General features: G+C 36.0%; 1 protein-coding gene across 23 annotated transcripts in view; it reads left to right on the top strand.

The window, feature by feature from the left end:
• The window catches only part of ANKRD17 (ankyrin repeat domain 17), a 185,423-nt gene that overhangs the window by 25,325 nt on the left and 141,717 nt on the right, over positions 1 to 18,381 (top strand). For 9 of the 23 annotated variants that reach the window (XM_017008013.2, XM_017008012.2, XM_017008011.2 and 6 more), the window contains exon 1: positions 10,417 to 10,500. The exons of the other annotated variants lie outside the window; for them this stretch is intronic. In XM_017008013.2, coding sequence (XP_016863502.1) covers positions 10,447 to 10,500 — 54 coding nt within the window. In that variant the 5' untranslated portion in view covers positions 10,417 to 10,446. Of the gene's footprint in view, positions 1 to 10,416; positions 10,501 to 18,381 lie in introns of those variants that run through there. 23 annotated transcript variants of the gene reach the window in all.

Raw genomic sequence — 18,381 nt, 5'->3', positions numbered from 1 at the left:
TAAATTTCCTTTAGTGACTAGTATTTATATAATCACATTGTAAGTACACTTTATTGATTTTCTGTTTTAGAATCAACCTAGAAAATGTATAAAATGGGCTTAATTATAGTTATGGAGTAGAATGCTTTATAAACCTTTATAATATAAAAATAATATCTATAAATTTAGGAGATGGAGGGCAACAAACGAAGGGGTCAGTGCTCGTTTTTTCGGTGGACAGTCAGTAGATAACAAGCATATAAAATTTGGTGAATCAAGATATGAAAGCAAAATGGCATTAAAGTTAAACTGGTAACTGTGCTAGAAGTCTATTAATGATGTAACATGTATTTTGCCATTTTGATGCAGGAGGGTAACAAGACTTATGGTTCGTCTTGTGCCTTTGTAGCCTTTGAATTTCTTAAAAACCCTAAGTGGATGCATCACATTTATAATGTTAAAAAGATTGCAAGGCTGGGCACAGAGGCTCATGCTTATAATCCCAGCACTTTGGGAGGCCAAGGCGGGTGGATCACTTGAGGTTAGGAGTTCGAGACCAGCCTGGCCAACATGGTGAAATCCTGTCTCTACTAAAAATACAAAAATTAGCTGGGCGTGGTAGCTGCGCCTGTAATCCCAGCTACTTGGGAGGCCGAGGCAGGAGAATTGCTTGAACCTGGGAGGTGGAGGTTTCAGGGAGTTGAGATCATATCACTGAACTGTAGCCTGGGCAAGAGAGTGAGGCTCTGTCTCAAAAAATAAAAAGGGGGGGTATTGCAGACATGTGGTGGCCTCTACCTAGTTGTTTAATACTGCTCTTTATGAAGTAAATATGTTCTCGGGCCAAGTGATTTTCGGAAATTGTCTGAGGTACAAATAGAAGACACAGGGATTAATTCTAGGAAATTAGAAAGTTGTGTAGAATACAAATGTGACTCTTTTAATGTAAGATGCCTAATTCTTTCTTGACTGGCTTACATGCTCGATTTTGAGTGTTAATTTCTGATCCCTTTCCATGAAATTTGACAGGAAACTCTTTTTAAAAAACAAATGTTTATTGTGAAAAATTCGGAAGTACAAAAAATTGGAAAATTCTGAGGCCTACTTCCTTCCAGTGCCTCTAAATAAGATGACATTTTATCCGATGGACTAAGGACCAAGTATAGAAACTAGTTTGTCCTTAAGGTGGAAGTCATGTGATCAAGGAGAGCTACAACTACTGGAGGCAAGGTATGTCTCCTGGAAGAGCTAGAAGAAGGAAGGTGGAAATAGAAATTGCCTTTTTCTCCCCCTTCCTTCTAAAGACGTGGCTGATCTTATATACTTAGCCCTCTCATCTTTGCTGAGGACCCATTGTGTGTCCCATGGCCTATAAATCAGGGTTCTCATGATCCCCTTCTTGAGTTTGATTAATTTACTGAGCAGCTCACAGAACTCAGGGAAACACTTATGTTTAATACATTTTATTGTAAAAGATATTACAAAGGATACAGCTGAAGAGATGCATAGGGTAAGGTATGGGACAAGGGGCATGGAAATTCTGCCCTCTCTGGGCGTGCCACCCTCCAGTAACTTCCACTGTGTTCTGTTCTCTGAAAGCCCTTCACGCCCTGTCCTTATAGGCGTTTATGGAGACTTTATTACATAGGCATGATTGATTAAACTATCAGCCGTTGGGGATCGATTTCACTTTTATTCTCCCCTTTTTGGAGTATGGGAGTTGGGGCTGAAAATCCCAACCATTTAATCTTCCCCTGGTCTTTCTGCTAAAACCAACCCTTATTCTGAAGCTACCTAGGGCCTGTCAGTCTTCAGTCAAATCTTAGCATATAGGAAGCCACATAACCACTTTGAAGATTCTAAGGATTATAGGAGTGTATGCCAGGAAACTGGTCTAAGACCAGAGACCAAATGTATATTTCATGATATCACAGGCAGTCTTTTGGTACTTTAAATAATTGCTTGCAAAAGTTACATCTTTAAATAATTGCTTGCAGGCAAACCATTCAAGGTTTGTTATGAATAGATTAGGCTGGAAATAGCAGAGCGCAGAGTGGTAACAGATATCTTGAGACCAGACTGATTGGAGCTTGTCAGGGACCCCAGACCATTAAGGAACCAGAGGAGAGCCAGTGATAGCAATGAGATTCCATGGTTACTTGGGTAGTTTTTACTTCCTGATTATTTTCCATGCCCTTGATGCTATCTTGAGTTACTTGGAACTGTTTCTTCATTCCCCCAGAGTGGTAGAAACCGGTGACTCAAGAAAATTGTCTTTAGATTTAAGCTTTTTCTTGTAATTTAAATTTTTATCCCCAGGTCCCCTAGACCTCCATTTTGTGTCTGTGTGTGTGTGGTGTGTATTTCTTTCTGTTGGTAGATATTTGCTTTCAAGTGGAGGACAAATGTGTTGCTGACGAGGTTGAAAGTGCTGTATCATCAATAGATTTAACCTATTTAAAATCAAAAACATTGAAATAAGTAATTTCTGTTATGTATGCACTTGTTTTTATTTTCATTTGAAAATGTACAATTCAGACAAATGGGAGGGTTGATTGTAAACAATAAATATTTTATCAGTTTTGTGTACATAGAACCTATTGTGAAATGCTGGAAAAAGAATGAATTCATGGTGTGACCCACCATGGGTAGAGACAACAAATGCGAGTGTCCAACAGACACAACTATTACTGGGGATGTGAAAAGAGGCAGCATTGCTTTGTTTCTTACTTTGTTTAGTACATTACTTACGTTGGGACAAGACTATGCTTGTATTTCATTCTGTACATAGGACACATCTGGATGAAGCGTTTTGTATCTAATATAATTCTCTTCTGTACTTTTCTAGGTTGAATTTCAGATTTCATTTATTAGTTGGATTAGAGAAGAATGGGAAGGGGACCAATTAGAGAAAAAAATCATTGAAGTTTTTAGTATTAAACATTGTCAAGAATCAGGATTGTGTTCTAGATTATAGCCTCTTGGAGGTGGACTAATTTTATTTGCCATTCTGTCTCCAGTGTATATAGTATAAACCCTGCCACCTAGTAAGTACTCAGTAAATGTTTGTTTAAATGAATGATCAAAATGCTAATGATGATCTTACAAAACAATTGTACTGGGGCTTTTTATAGTATGAGCCTTGAGAAAAATGTTTAAGCAAAAAAAAAATCTTTAATTATTTGAATATTACAAAGTAGTACATACCCTCCCTACCATTCCTTATATTTAGAATATACTACTGGATACTATGTTGCATTATTTTATTTATAATGTTACAATTTTATGTATCTTTAACTTAGTCCTTTCTTACATATATCCTTTAGATATTCTTCTACATTTCTCGAAGCATGTTCAACTGTCTTATTTTGGCAGTTCTGGTGAAGGCTTAATCATTCTTATTTTTAAATGTAATCATCAAAATTAGACCTGGAATCTATGCCAAGAAACTGAGATAGAAACTGTTTAGTGCTTTTTATGTTCATAAAAATTGTTTATGTGTGGCCCTGTATTCTTGTACATTAGATTTTTTTAATATGATGGATTACTTTAGAATTTCATGCTTTAAAAAGAGTAATTTGAACATAAATGTAGAAGGCAAAGAAATAAATGTATCCAGCAGTATTTTATTTAGTGAGAATATACCCAAATATTTCCCAAACAATTCTGGGTCTTTAAAATACTAAATTCTGGCAGAAGCATCTTTTCACAACTTACTACCAGGTTAAAAAACCCATTAAATATTGGGGGGAATTTGTATTTTATCAGAAGGAGATTTTTTTTTAAAGGGTAGATCATTGGACTCCCCATTCTTCTCTCTTCTCCACCTGTATATCAGCTGTATATATATATATAGACTCTGCATTGTGGTTGGGTTTTTTTTTTTTAAATAATCAATTGAAGTTCTTAATTTGTTGGAGAATTTATGTGTTTTTTTTGATAAGGATTTTTTAAATTTTTTTTGAAGTTAGATGAGAGGAGGTGTAACTTTGATTTGTGATTCTTGAAAAGTAGAAATGATGAACTAAGAATAAATCTGGATACATGATTTAAAACTAATATTGATTTCAGATCTGGATTTTTAGTAGACTTGTGTCAGTAACACTTTATATTTGTAGGGAAGCAGGCAGTCTCACTCACTGTCAGTATAAATTAGTTCAACTTTTTTAGAAGGCAGTTAATTGGGTAACATCTAAACTTTTATTTTATTTTATTATACTTTAAGTTCTAGGGTACATGTGCACAACGTGCAGGTTTGTTACATATGTATACATGTGCCATGTTGGTGTGCTGCACCCATTAACTCGTCATTTACATTAGGTATATCTCCTAATGCTTTCCCTCCTCCCTCCCCCTACCCCACAACAGGCCCTGGTGTGTGATGTTCCCCTTCCTGTGTCCAAGTGTTCTCATTGTTCAATTCCCACCTATGAGTGAGAACATGCAGTGTTCGGTTTTTTGTTCTTGCGATAGTTTGCTGAGAATGATGGTTTCCAGCTTCATCCGTGTCCCTACAAAGGACATGAACTCATCCTTTTTTATGGCTGCATAGTATTCCATGGTGTATACGTGCCACATTTTCTTAATCCAGTCTATCATTGTTGGACATTTGGGTTGGTTCCAAGTCTTTGCTGTTGTGAATAGTGCTGCAGTAAACATACGTGTGCATGTGCCTTTATAGCAGCATGATTTATAATCCTTTGGGTATGAACGTTAGAAACAAGATAAATGCCTGCTGGACTGGTTAAATACATTATGCAGTTCTGCAATGAAAATTTGAGCAGCTGTCAAAAATCAAAGATAAATATTTATGTACTAATCTGAAACAATTATGGAGTATTAAATATTAAAATTGGGATACAGAAAGTATGCATAATAGTATCCATCTGTATAAAAAATAATGTTACCCTAAGATGTGCTTGAAATATGTAGGTTATTTCTGGAAGGATACAATAACTGGTTGTGTCTCTTAGGATGGCTTGGTAAGAGGTAGGTTTGCTTTTCTCTTAAACCGTGAATGCTTTCCATGTACATGTATTACTTTTACATAAAAATCATAGTTAATAAAGAAGAAAATAAACTATAGTGGTAATAAAAAGAATATTACTTTTTATTCTTTATTTTGTGCTACATTAGACATATATCTAGATTCCTCAGTCATTTTATAGCATGAGTAGTTTAGGAGAAATAAAAGGTAAAATCATGAGAATGTGTTGTTTTAATAATGTATGGACTTTCAGAAATCTTACCAAATCGTATTAGCCTTTTAACTTAAATTCTGTTTTAATATCTTTCACTTATACTTGGTTTAGGCTCTTTCACACTTGGGTTTCATACTTATGCTTTACTATAATTTACACAGTAGAAAAGAGAAAAAGAGAGATACTATAAAGTAATGATTAAATTTAATAATTTTAAGAGGTAGAATTGTTTTAGTTTTTTTTCTAGTAGTTTATGTGAGTGGGCAAAATCATTAAATTTTTCCTACCACCAGTTGTCAGTCCTTGTTTTGTTTGAATATATAGATTTTGAAGCCTCACCATTCCCTAAGTTAAAAAATTGATAGGAATGAAACTCCTTTACAAGGAGTTTTCTATTAAAGTTTTACATGAAGGGAACAAACAACAAAGTGTTAAGTCATGCAAAACAGAGTTGCTTGCTTGTCAGCACATTTCTACATATTTTTTTGTTTTGATTTTCTTTTTCCTTCTTCAAGGAAACCAATGCTGGTCCTAAATAAAATTGTCAATTTTGGAAGATTCTTTCATTCAATCTAGGTATTTACTGAGCTTTTTTGTCCTTTACCTTCTTTTTATGAGAGGTTTCACTCTTCATTTTGGATATTTGAACATTTTCAGTCAATATTTTCTTTTATTATTTTAAATTATTTTTATATGTTTACATTTGTTTGCATAGCTTAATATGTTAATTGCTATTTACACTTTAATACTTCTGTTGGCAAAATAATGAAAAGTCTTGTGCCATTGAAATCCATTTTAGATAAATGGGAAGACAATTTTCTTGCCTATAAAATTAGGTTGAGGCTGGGTGCGGTGGCTCACACCTGTAATCCCAGCACTTTGGGAGGCCAAGGCAGGCGGTCACTTGAGGTCAGGAGTTCGAGAGCACCCTGGCCAACATGATGAAACCCCGTCTCTACTAAAAATGCAAAAATGAGCCAGGCGTGGTGGTGGGCGCCTGTAATCCCAGCTACTCGGGAGGCTGAGGCAGGAGAATCACTTGAACCCGGGAGGCAGAGGTTGCAGTGAGCTGAAACTGCGCCACTGCACTCCAACCTGGAGTGCAAAGCAAGACTCCGTCTCAAAAATAAAATTAGGTTGAACTGGAAGGTGGCTTGTTTTTAGGATGACAGGTTTTAGACAAATATGTATAAATTTCTCTTTATATCCTTTTGCCCATGGTATCCTGCAGTGACATAGGTAATCATATTGATGAAAAGGACTGGAAAACAGAATTAAAGGGGATACATTATTTTGCTATGTAACAAATAACTGCAGAAAATCTGAAATTTAGATTCTGTTTATATTCAATACTTCTAATATCTTATTTCAGTGATCCAGTGACCTAAAGATAGAGTAAAAGAACAAATGCTTTTGTTAGAAATTGTGGCACGTGCCTGTAGTCCCAGCTACTGGGGAGGCTGAGGCAGGAGAATCACTTGAGCCCAGGAGGTGGAGGTTGCAAGTTAGCCGAGATTGCGCCACTGCATTCCAGCCTGGGCGACAGAGCGAGACTCCACCTCAAAAAAGAAAAAGAAAGAATAAAGAAATTACTACTATTGGGCCAGGTGCGGTGGCTCACGCCTGTAATCCCAGCACTTTGGGAGTCTGAGGCGGGTGAATTACGAGGTCAGGAATTCAAGACCAGCCTGGTCAACATGGTGAAACCCCGTCTCTACTAAAAATACGAGAAATTAGCTGGGCATGGTGGCAGGCGCCTGTAATCCCAGCCGCTCTGGTGGCTGAGGCAGGAGAATTGCTTGAATCCAGAGGCGGAGGTTGCAGTGAGCCGGGGTTGCACCACTGCACTCCACCCCAGGCGACAGTGCGAGACTCCGTCTCAAAAAAAAAAAAAAAAAAAAAAACAGAAGAAAAGAAATTATTACTATTAGTAGCAATAATTTAAAAGGTATTAGGATACTGTAGTGGATATCAGACAATTCTCTTATCTGTGAATTTGTTCATTTAATCAAAAAATGCTGGCGGGCGCGGTGGCTCACGCCTGTTATCCCAGCACTTTGGGTGGCTGAGGCAGGCAGATCACTAGGTCAGGAGATGGAGACCATCCTGGCTAACACGGTGAAACCCCGTTTCTACTAAAAATACTAAAAGTTAGATGGGCGTGGTGGCACGCGCCTGTAGTCCCAGCTACTCGGGAAGCTGAGGCAGGAGAATTGCTTGAACCTGGGAGACGGAGGTTGCTGTGAGCCGAGATTGTGCCAGTGCACTCCAACCTGGGCAACAGAGCGAGACTCCGCCTCAAAAAAAAAAAAAAAAAAAAGCTTAAGAGCCTGCTCTATGCCAGAGTGCTGGCTCTAGGTATGCATTGGTGAATAAAGTGTTGCCTAATTTCTTTTTTCTTTTCTTTCTTTTTTTTTTTTTTTTTTTTTTTTGAGACAGAGTCTTGCCCTGTTGCCCAAGCTGGAGTGCAGTGGCGTGATCTCGACTCACTGCAACCTCCACCTCCCGGGTTCAAGCGATTCTCCTGCCTCAGCCTCCCAAGTAGCTGGGATTACAGGCGCCCACCACTACAGCCAACTTATTGTTTTTGTATTTTTAGTAGAGACAGGGTTTCACCATGTTAGTCAGACTCTTCTCGAACTCCTGACCTCAGGTGATCTGCCCGCCTGGGCCTCCCAGAGTGCTGGGATTACAGGACAGGCATGAGCCACCGCGCCTGGCCAAAGTATTGCCTGCTTTCAACAGTGTTGCCTGCTTTTTTCTAGTCTTTAAGGGAGACAGATAATAAATGATAGCCATAATTCTGTGAGAAAGCCATAATCACATATGTATTGTTAAAAACAACAGTAAATGTCAGAAAACAGAAGCACCCCATAATCCTAGAATGGAAGAGAAGGGGAGAGTGAAAGGTTTTATTAACTTTAGTCTTAGGGGCCCCCATTTCTTGTCAGATAAAGGATTTGGAAGGCCTATTCTTGGTTTATGGAAAAGGAGAGTGTTCCAGCATACGTTCCTTGAACTCAAACCTATCATTGCTTGATAGCATTAGAGGAAAATTTGAGGAAGGGAAACTTTGTTGACGACTTGTTTTAAGTCTAAAGATGGAGCAGTTTATTTGAAGCATAGAAAGAATTGACCTGGGAGGCAGGAAATAACAAAAGCCAGTTTGTAGTTTCTGTTTAAGCCAGGTCTCAACAATGTAAATTACTTTGAGCAGCCTTTAAATGCCAGGCATACCCATACCTAAATGTAAACACTAGGTATGGTATGAGGTAAAACATAGTGTCATTTGTTTGCCATTAATTCCACATACCCTTTGCAATCAGTTCTGGATTTGCATCTGGATTTGACTCTGCATATAACTGTGTGCCCTGTCTGATACTTGGTTCCCTTATTCGTAAAATGAGATTATCACAGGGAAGAAGTATAGTTGATGATTCTGGATATGGACTCCAGTCTGGTGCAAACTGCCTGAATTCAGATCTCAACTCTTCAACTTAATTAGCTTAGCTTGAAATAATTGGGCAAGTTGCTTAACCTCTTTTTGTCCCATTTCCACATACGTAAAATGGGGATAATAATAATATGTTTTAGGATTACTGTGAAAATTAAATGAGTTAATATATAAAAAGCATTTAAAATGGCATATAGTAAGCAAAATGTAGTTTAAAAATATGACATAGCTGGGTTGTTATGAGGATAAATAATATGTTTATTTTTTTAAAAAAAGAAATCATATATTGCTTGACACAGTATGGGTATTTCTTAAATACCAGAAACCGTGTAGTAGGTACTTTATATCATTTAATCTTCATATAAACTGTTAAGAAACCATAATCTGTCTAGTTGACTGCACCTAGAGCAGTTTCTGATATTTCAAGTTGAATGAATATTATCCCATTTCATGATTAATAAATTGAGGCCCAAGAGTACTCCAAAATCACCACTAAAACATGACATCACTTTGAGGAGATAGTACCAGCAATGTCATGCACATCATCACATCACTTTTCTCAGTTTAGAGCATAAAACATTGTTCCTTTTTGTTTTTGGAGACAGTCTCGCTCTGTTGCCCAGGCTAGGGTGCCAGTGGCACAATGGCAACATCCACCTCCCGGGTTCACGTGATTCTCATGCAGCCACCTGAGTAGCTGGGATTACAGGCATGCACTACCACGCCCAGCTAATTTTTGTATTTTTAGTAGAGACGGGGTTTCACCATGTTGGCCAGGCTGGTCTTGATCGAACTCCTGGCCTCAAATGATCTGCTCGCCTCAGCCTCCCCAAGTGCTGGGATTACAGGTGTGAGCCACTGCGCTCGGCCCATTGTTCCTTTTTCAGTGCATTTTTTCATATTCAAAGTTGTATAAGGAAGAAATTTGACAATCTAACAAGTTTTACTAAATGGAAGATCAATTACAGGAATGAATATAATATATATTGGCTCCACTGTCACTCACTCACTTTATTTGCTGTTTGATGATCCAGATTTGGTGTCTCTAAATTTCATTTATCTAGGATATTTTAGTCTCTTAGAGTATTTATTGTAAGAGAAAAAGGCCATTTCTTTGGTTAGTAAATGAAGTTAAAGGCACTACTAGAAAATGCATATATCAAATATTATAGCTTGCTTCAGTAACTGTAAATTAGTTGAATGTTAACCTGGTTCTCATAAGTATTTACAAGCAGATTAGTTTATAAAAACCAATTTACTATTAAAAAATCTACATTAGGATAATTATTTTTGAAACCCTGAAGTCAACTGTAATATGTATGTTATATAATACATTTGCCTGATGTAGCAAATTTCTAACTTGGCATTATCATGCCTCCTTCTTTGCGTCTTTAATACAACCATTAATCTCACTACAAGGCTTTACTAAGGATAAATTGCTGCGTAACCCACTTCAACCTCTTTTGTTCAACCAGGAAGCCAGACGTGTTAAATAGCTTTTTAAAAAATATGTTATTTCTTTTTTGAAATTTTAGGATTTTAAAAATTGAAGTGGTAAAATAAGAGACTTTATTTTGTCTGTTAAAATTACTTGACAGAAGTTTGCTTTGGAATAGAGCTTCTGTATCTTTAAAAAATACACAGTGAGTCACCCCCTGCTCTTTTGGTAGATGCCTGGCTAGTGAACAGCTAAGCTGCTTTAGGCATGTAATAGAACATTCCATTTCCTGTTCCCTTGCTGACACAGAGGAGTGTTCCTGCTGGCAATGATCTAATCATAGTGCAGTAAGAAACATGGCAGTTTGATAAAACATGGTGGAGACAGCGGCTGAAATGGAAGCATATGTTCTAGAAGACATTCTTGAGGTAGGGCTAGGTTTGTAAGTGAAATGAAAGTTGAAATCTGAACAAAGAAATCTTATCTGCCGGAATTATTTTACAGATGAATAGATTAGAGGAGAGAGCAAAGAGAAGCAGAGCATAAAAGCAAGACACGGTCAGACCTATTCCGTGTGAGAATGTTTCAGACTGGTTCACATGATTACTATAGACGTCTATAATTATTTTGTTTAAACTTCATGTTTCATAAATTGTAGATATATGTTTGTTAGGGAAAAAGGGGAGACTCAGGCTTAATAAAAAGCCTTGTGCTGGTGGTGACCTTTAGATTAACTCATTAGAAGGTGGGGTCTGCAAAGCAGCTTTGAGTAAGGTTTAGTATCATATGTCTTAGAATTCATTTACATATCTAAGCCTAAAGCTTTGCTGCAGTTAACTATTAAAAACGGTTATTTTAGCTTTAAACTAAGCATGTTTATATCAATCTGATTGCTTAATTTAGCTGGTATACTCTGGTCCTAGATTTTTCATGTGACTTTGATTATTATAAAACAAATTATTAAATTAAAAATATTAAAACCCTGAAATTTAGGGCACTGATGCTAGAGAGACATCAATACAAAATTACTATAATTTGAATCATGAACATTTTAAATTATATTTTCTCTTTTCTGGTTGTAAAAATTTTATAAGATCCTATTTGAGTATAAATCAGTCCAAGGAAATACATGTCAAAGTGAAACTATAATTGCTTTTGGCATTGAATGTAGTATACTATTAGAAATTTGTATTTATAGGTATAGGTATTTAAATCTCATATTCTTATCTGTGGGATTGTGTAGGGTTTTTCTTTTTTTTCCTCATTAGATAAAACCTGGGTAATTCAGATAAAGAGGCTTTATGGTGGTGAGTGGTATTCCTAATACTTAGACTGTTGAGATAATTTATTAACTATTTCACATCTTCAGGAAGATTATTTTACTGTGGGGAGAGGGCTTGGGAGAAGAAGCTGCAAAGGGAAGCTAGGCGGGGTTAGCAGGAGAAAAAAGCCTATGCGCATTATAAAGTGCTGCATGATCAATGAGTATTTTCTGGAGTCCCTCAGTGTGTGCTTGGAGCTGACATTGCAGCAAGTCTCATGGTTGTTCTGCAGAATGAAAACTGATTCCATTTATTACCTACCTCCTTGCAGACACCTGCCAATGTGCTCTTTTCCCCTTTCCTAAAAGCTGTTAGGTCTAAGTTGAATTGTGGTTAATTTTTATTCTTTTCTCTTTTATTTTTTACTTTGTTTCTATTAGTGAGTTTCCTTAAAAATGTGTGGTAAAATTATCTACTTAGAAATAGTAGTATAAACTTTCATCAAAGGAGTTTAGTAATTACAAGTGGCCACATGACTTTTTAGTGGTTCAGTTTAAATAAGCCTAATTAGATTACAGAGTTCTAGTGTTACATTTTAATTTGCTTTTAAAATTTTTTGGTTTGGATTTTAAAGAAGTGTGCTTTGGAGATTTTGATAAATCTATTTGACAATTTTTCTTAGCCATTTAAAACTTCAGCATATAACAGATTTTAGAAGTCTTATTTATGTTCTGAGGAAATCCTACTTGAGCACTGTTTTGTGCTTTATGCATAGGTTTTTTTAATGCTACCTGAACAACTGGCTTTTTATTATCTCAATTGTTTAATACCATGTTAAGATTTCATGTTACCTTATTTATTCAATGTTGCTAGTTATTAAAACAACCTCTGCAATTTTAGTTTTCCTAATTCTCAATTTATCTTAATTTAGTTTCTATGTACCTGTTGCATCCTATCATACTAAATAAGTAGCTTTTTCTCTTTATTTAAAATATCATTTGACTTAAATATTTGTCAATCTTGGTAACATTTTCTAAGTAGTAATAAAAGAGCCTTATCCAAAGTTATAAGTACTCATAATGACACAGTGCTAAAAATACAGAGTGCAAAGAATAAATTTGCTAACTTTGCAGATAAATGTACCATTTTCTAAAGCACCTCATATTGCAAGTAAACAGATATTTATTACATAATGAGCTTTCCAGAAAAATATATTCCCTAGCCCTCTACCCCCCACAGGGATAACTCCTTGAATAAATGTCCAGTAATGGATAATGAAGTTCATCTGTATACCACAGTGACAGTTTTATTATTGTACTTAATATTGAGCTACTTGAAGTTCATTACCGTAATTTTCACCTTTGTGATTTTATTTATTGAACATACGGAATTTTATGTAGATTATGCTTATTTGCATTGAATAAATATTAGACTCTTTTTTTCCTGTCTTTGTAACTTGATCTTTTGAATCATAAACTTCTTAAAGGTACTCTTATTGAATATTAGTTAACAAAAGTCAATATCATTAGTGAACATAACACAAATGATTTCTCATAATACTATGGCTTACCTTTTAAACTGTGATTACTGATTATATATGCCCACATATATTTAAGTTGACTATTTAGACCTTTAAAATCTTAAGTAAAATACTCTCTAAAATGTATAATAAAATTAGAAAAGGTGGATTTCAACTTACATCATTGCTTTTCAACAGTCCAAGGTAAGGGATTAAATAGAGTGTCTTGGCTATTTCATTTATTCAAATAATCCAGGCAGTAATTTTCTTCTCCAAACCAAAGGCATCAAAGTATTTCCGTTCCTTCTGCCTACCTTCTGTAAAAGGAACTAATACTCAGGAAAGTAGCCATATACAGATGGCAGAAAAAGGGCTGACAGCTCATATAAATACCTCTTTTCTTGTTCTGTTTATGTTTTCCTGAGACATGATTATAATTTTAGAATTTTGATGACCTTCCTGTAAAATTATGTGTAACAATAGATTGTACTACTTAGAATGATCAATAAGAGGAAAAATGTCTTCCAATTTTATATCCCAAATTTACATGGCCAAGGGCTGTGTATATAAACCTGTGGTTTATATGTTGGCTTTTTTATATGAAAACATGAAACAACTGAGAGATCATTTCAGAAACTTGGTTACTGTATATTTAGTGTTATTATTTATAATTGAGCCAGTTTTAGGAGTCTTAGTAATAAGAAATCTTCACAGATATTTCCATCCTTTAATTTTGATTAAGTTCAGATTGTTCTGGGTATAGTATTTGATATATTTTTGCTTTAAGAAAGTAGGAAATTTTATGAAAATAAAAATGTTTATATTGTTAAGTGTAATAATAACTCTCATACCCGTTCTTATTCTTTTGTCATCTAAAGCCAGGATGTCCAGCTTCATCTGTACTTGATGTTATAGGTTGTGGTATATAAAATAAAAGTGCCAACTCTCTATGGTTCTGTCTATGGACAGTGGGTTGAGGATTTGACTGAACCCTTTAGGTTGGAACTGAATTAAGGTTCAGATTTAAGCAAAGTAAGTAGGTTTATTATGGAAGCTTTTCTTGCTCTGTATTTATCTTAGCTGTTTTTGTTTTTTAAATAAAATTGAAAGAGTCTCAAGGAAGGCATCATTTCCTTTTGATTGCCAAGATTGTGGACTAATGGTAAATAGTGAATTCTAGGTCAAACAAGGGAAATCCACTTGCTATTTACCATAAAAATTATTTTTGGTAATGATATCAAATCTCCATGTGGTAGACTTTTTTTGACAGATACGTGTTATATTTCTTTTTATTCTGTAAGGCACATTGTTATATGTAATGCACATCATTTCTATACTATACCAGTAAGTCTTTCATAGATTTCTAAAGTAACCATGGTGACATTTTTCACTAGGAAAAGTTGTAGTAACTCTTAGAACCTAAATTGGTCTAGTGACTGAAAAGTTTAGATAAATATGTAAATCATTAAGAGTTGATAAAAGTAATATTTTCCATTCATCAAGAAGTTTTGGAATCAAGTTGAGAAATGTTGGACAGATATGGGTTTGGTTTGTTTGTTTGAGACGGAATCTTGCTGTGTTGCCAGGCTGGAGTGCAGTGACTCTTATCTCAGCTCACTGCAACCTCTGCCTCCTGGGTTCAAGTGATTCTCCTGCCTCAGCCTCCCGAGTAGCTGGGATTACAGGTGCATGCCACCACACCCAGCTAATTTTTGTATTGTTAGTAGAGACGGGGTTTCACTATGTTGGCCAGGATGGTCTCAATCTCTTGACCTCGTGATCCGCATGCCTCAGCCTCTCAAAGTGTGGGATTACAGGCGTGAGCCACTGCATTTATTGAGTACCTTCAGTGTGAGGCACTTGAAATTCAATGAGGTTAGTCCAGCTAATTTTGTCTCACAGAGGTGGAAGTGCAGAAGTAGAAGAAGATGAAGAAGAAATGTCTGCCATTGGTATCTTTTTTTTTTTTTTTTTTTTTGAGACAGAGTCTCACTCTGTCACCCAGGCTAGAGTGCAGTGGCATGACCTTGGCTCACTGCAACCTCCCCCTCAGGGGTTGAAGCGATTCTCTTGTCTCAGCCTCTGGAGTAGCTGGGATTACAGGCATGCGCCACCATGCCTGGCAATTTTTTGTGTTTTTAGTAGAGATGGGGTTTCTCCATGTTGGCCAGGCTGGTCACTAACTCCTGATCTCAGGTGATCTGCCTGCCTCGGCCTCCCAAAGTGCTCAGTAATGGCTTGAGCCACTGCAGCCGGCCTCTGCCATTGGTATCTTAAACAGTCTTGAATTTAGGATGCATAGATACATATTTTAATACTAGTATTTTACTTCATTGATTCCATCTGAATAGTTTGAAACTCATGTTTTCAGCAGTGGACTTAAAAAGCGGATATCCCTTATGCATTCTGAATTTTTCAGTAAGCAGATATTTTTCTTTATCTGGACACCTTTATGTTGTCACTTTTATGCAAATCTTTTTGTTATATGTATTTATGAATGTGGTGCTGACAAGAACATCCACTGGTTCTCATTTTTACCTATAAACCAGCATACGCGTGTGTATACACATACCTACAATACATATATTCACATTTATACTTACATATACTCCACACACACACAAACATACACACACATACTCATACACTCATGTTCTGCTTTAGGTGGAATATTTCTTATCTAAAATGTTTGGGACCAGAAGTGTTTGGAGTTTGGATTTTTTCAGGTTTTGGAATATTTGCGTATATGTAAAGATAACTTGGGGATGGGACCCACATGAGATTTACTTATGTTTTATATATACCTTATACACATAGTCCGAATGTAGTTTTATGCAATTTTTTTTAGTAGTTTCGTGCATGAAAACAAAGTTTTGATTGATCTGTCACACGAGGTCAAATGCAGAAGTTTTCACTTGTGGCATTATGTCAGTGCTCAAAAAATTACTGATCTTTGGCTAGGTGCAGTGAGTGGCTCGTGCCTGTAATCACAGCAATTCGGGAGGCTGAAGCAAGAGGATCGCTTGAGCCCAGGAGTTCAAGACCAGCCTAAGCAACATAGTGAGACCCTATGTCTACAAAAAAGTAAAAATTAAAAAAAAAAAGTTTTGGATTTTGGAGCATTTCAGATTTTGAATTTTCAGATTAGGGATGATCAACCTGTATATTTTGCAGTGAGGATACTCTTATTTGGAAGTCCAATTTTTCATGTAAGGGTGGGGTTGATGTTATAACATTGCTTTCATATGCCAATTTTGGGAGAATTAATGGGGAAGTAGTATAAGATACACTTATGTTAGTTAATCCCTGTAAAGAAGAATGATATTTTAGTGGAATATGGAGGCTCCAAATAGCTTGTGGAAAGGTAGTATAACTAGAAGTATGTGAATCAATGTATTACTCTTATATGAAAGTAAAGGCACGGTTGTCCAATGAACCACTAGTTTCCCACTGATCCATCGTAGTCTGGTAATTAGTGCATGTTATGGAGCATTAATTAGAAAAGGTCTACATCATATATTATCCATTTATAGAGGCAACAACATTGGCCCTTTACTGGTTCTGAATTGTGAGAGGCCTTTGTTTTGACACTTGATAACAGCTCATTCTGATATGAAGTCACTTGATCACTACAAAGTTGGTGAGCAGCACAGTCTTGTTAACCATTGGTTTGGTTTAGTATATATCTTCCAAATTTGCCAAACCAATGGCTTTTCACAAGGTGTTTATAATTGTTAAATGCCTATGAGGTGATAACTTTCATGTGTGGTTGGATTAATACTGGCCATTAATAATTTAGTCTTGGATGGAATCAGAACTCTAACTAGTTGGATATGTGTTGTAAGTAGGATAGCACATAGTTTTATGGTGGCAACAGTAATTGGCACATTAGCTACCCTTTATTGAGTATTTAAATTATATATAGAGAGGGAGTGTGCCAGGTACTACATAAGCATTGTTTTATTTAATCCTCTGAATGATTCTGTGAGGAGGTAGGTACCCACTTCATAAGCAGCTTATAAGGAATAAATGAAGTAATCTGCATAAACATTTAGCACAGCATTTAGTTACATAGTTAACCCTTAACTGTTAACCCTTTTTTAACCCTCATCTTCTATCCTTATGCTGTCACCCCCGCCATTTGACAGGAAAATTTGAGCGTCAGGGATTATTAGAGCAATAGTTTTAAATTCTTTTGGTCTTAGGTCTCTTTTTCACTGTTAAAAATTATTGAGAACTCAAAAGTTTTTTGTTTCTGAGAGTTATATCTATCACTATTTACTATATTAGAAATTATAGTTTAAAGAAAATTAAAATTAAAGTTGAAAGAAAAATTTAAAAACATTTACATATTTATTCATTTAAAAAAATGATAAACCATTGCATGTTAACATGCTTTTATAAAAAAATAATTATTTTCCAAAAGAAAAAATTTGTGAGAGTGGCATTGTTTTACATTTTTATAAATATCTTTAACATCTGACTTAATGGAAGATAACTAGACTCTCATATCTTCTTTATTAATTTAATTTAACTTTTATTTTAGAGTTGAGGTCTCATTACGTTGCCCAGGCTGGAGTGCAGTGGCTGTTCACAGGTACAGTCATAATGCACTTTAGCCTTGAACTCCTGGGCTGAGCAGTCATTCTGCCTCAGCCTCCTGAGTAGCTGAGACTACAGGTGCCAGCCACCATGCCCATCATATCTGCTGTCATATTCAGTCTATTGTGATACATTATTTGGTCGAAGTCTCTAAAGAAATTTAGTGTCACATTGTTAGGAGGATAAAAAAACAAAAACTATTTTCATAGCCCTTTCAGATAATTGTGGATAATCTTCTTTAAAACCATTCCTAAACTCCACAAGTGGTAGTTTCTTAAAGGTTAGTTGCAGTGTGGAATCTGAAACAATTACCGGTGAACTTTCTGAACTTTGTTAGATTAAAACTCACTGGCTTATTGTGCACTTTGAATTTATCAAAACCATGTATGATTTTTATAATATTGGTCATAGTAAAATACTGGTTTCTTTTATTCTGCAATATTTTTAAAAATCACATTTTCAGCCAGGCGCAGTGGCCCACACCTATAATCCCAGCACTTTGGGAGGCTGAGATGGGTGGATCACAAGGTCAAGAGATCAAAACCATCCTGGCCAACATGGTGAAACCCTGTCTCTACTAAAAATACAAAAATTAGCTGGGTGTAGTGGCATGCGCCTGTAGTCCCAGCTACTCGGCAGGCTGAGGCAGGAGAATCACTTGAACCCGCGAGGCGGAGGTTGCAGTGAGCCGAGATAGCACCACTGAACTCAAGCCTGGCGACAGAGCAAGACTCCATCTCAAAAAAAAAAAAATCACATTTTCTAACAGCATCAGTGTTCTCAGAAAAGTCAAAAACTGGGAAGCTGTCACGTGTCAGATATAAGATCTCCAAAATTCTAATTTTGCTTGGAAGTTTGAATTTTATTATTGATGACAAATCATTTGAATTGTTTTTCTTGAAATGACAGGCTCATATCATTCGTTC

The sequence above is a fragment of the Homo sapiens genome, chromosome 4 (genome assembly GCF_000001405.40).
Source record: "Homo sapiens chromosome 4, GRCh38.p14 Primary Assembly".
In the NCBI taxonomy this organism is placed as follows: Eukaryota; Metazoa; Chordata; class Mammalia; order Primates; family Hominidae; genus Homo; species Homo sapiens.
The sequence above is the reverse complement of the archived record's forward strand: the minus strand, read 5'-3'. Positions and strand labels throughout refer to the sequence as shown.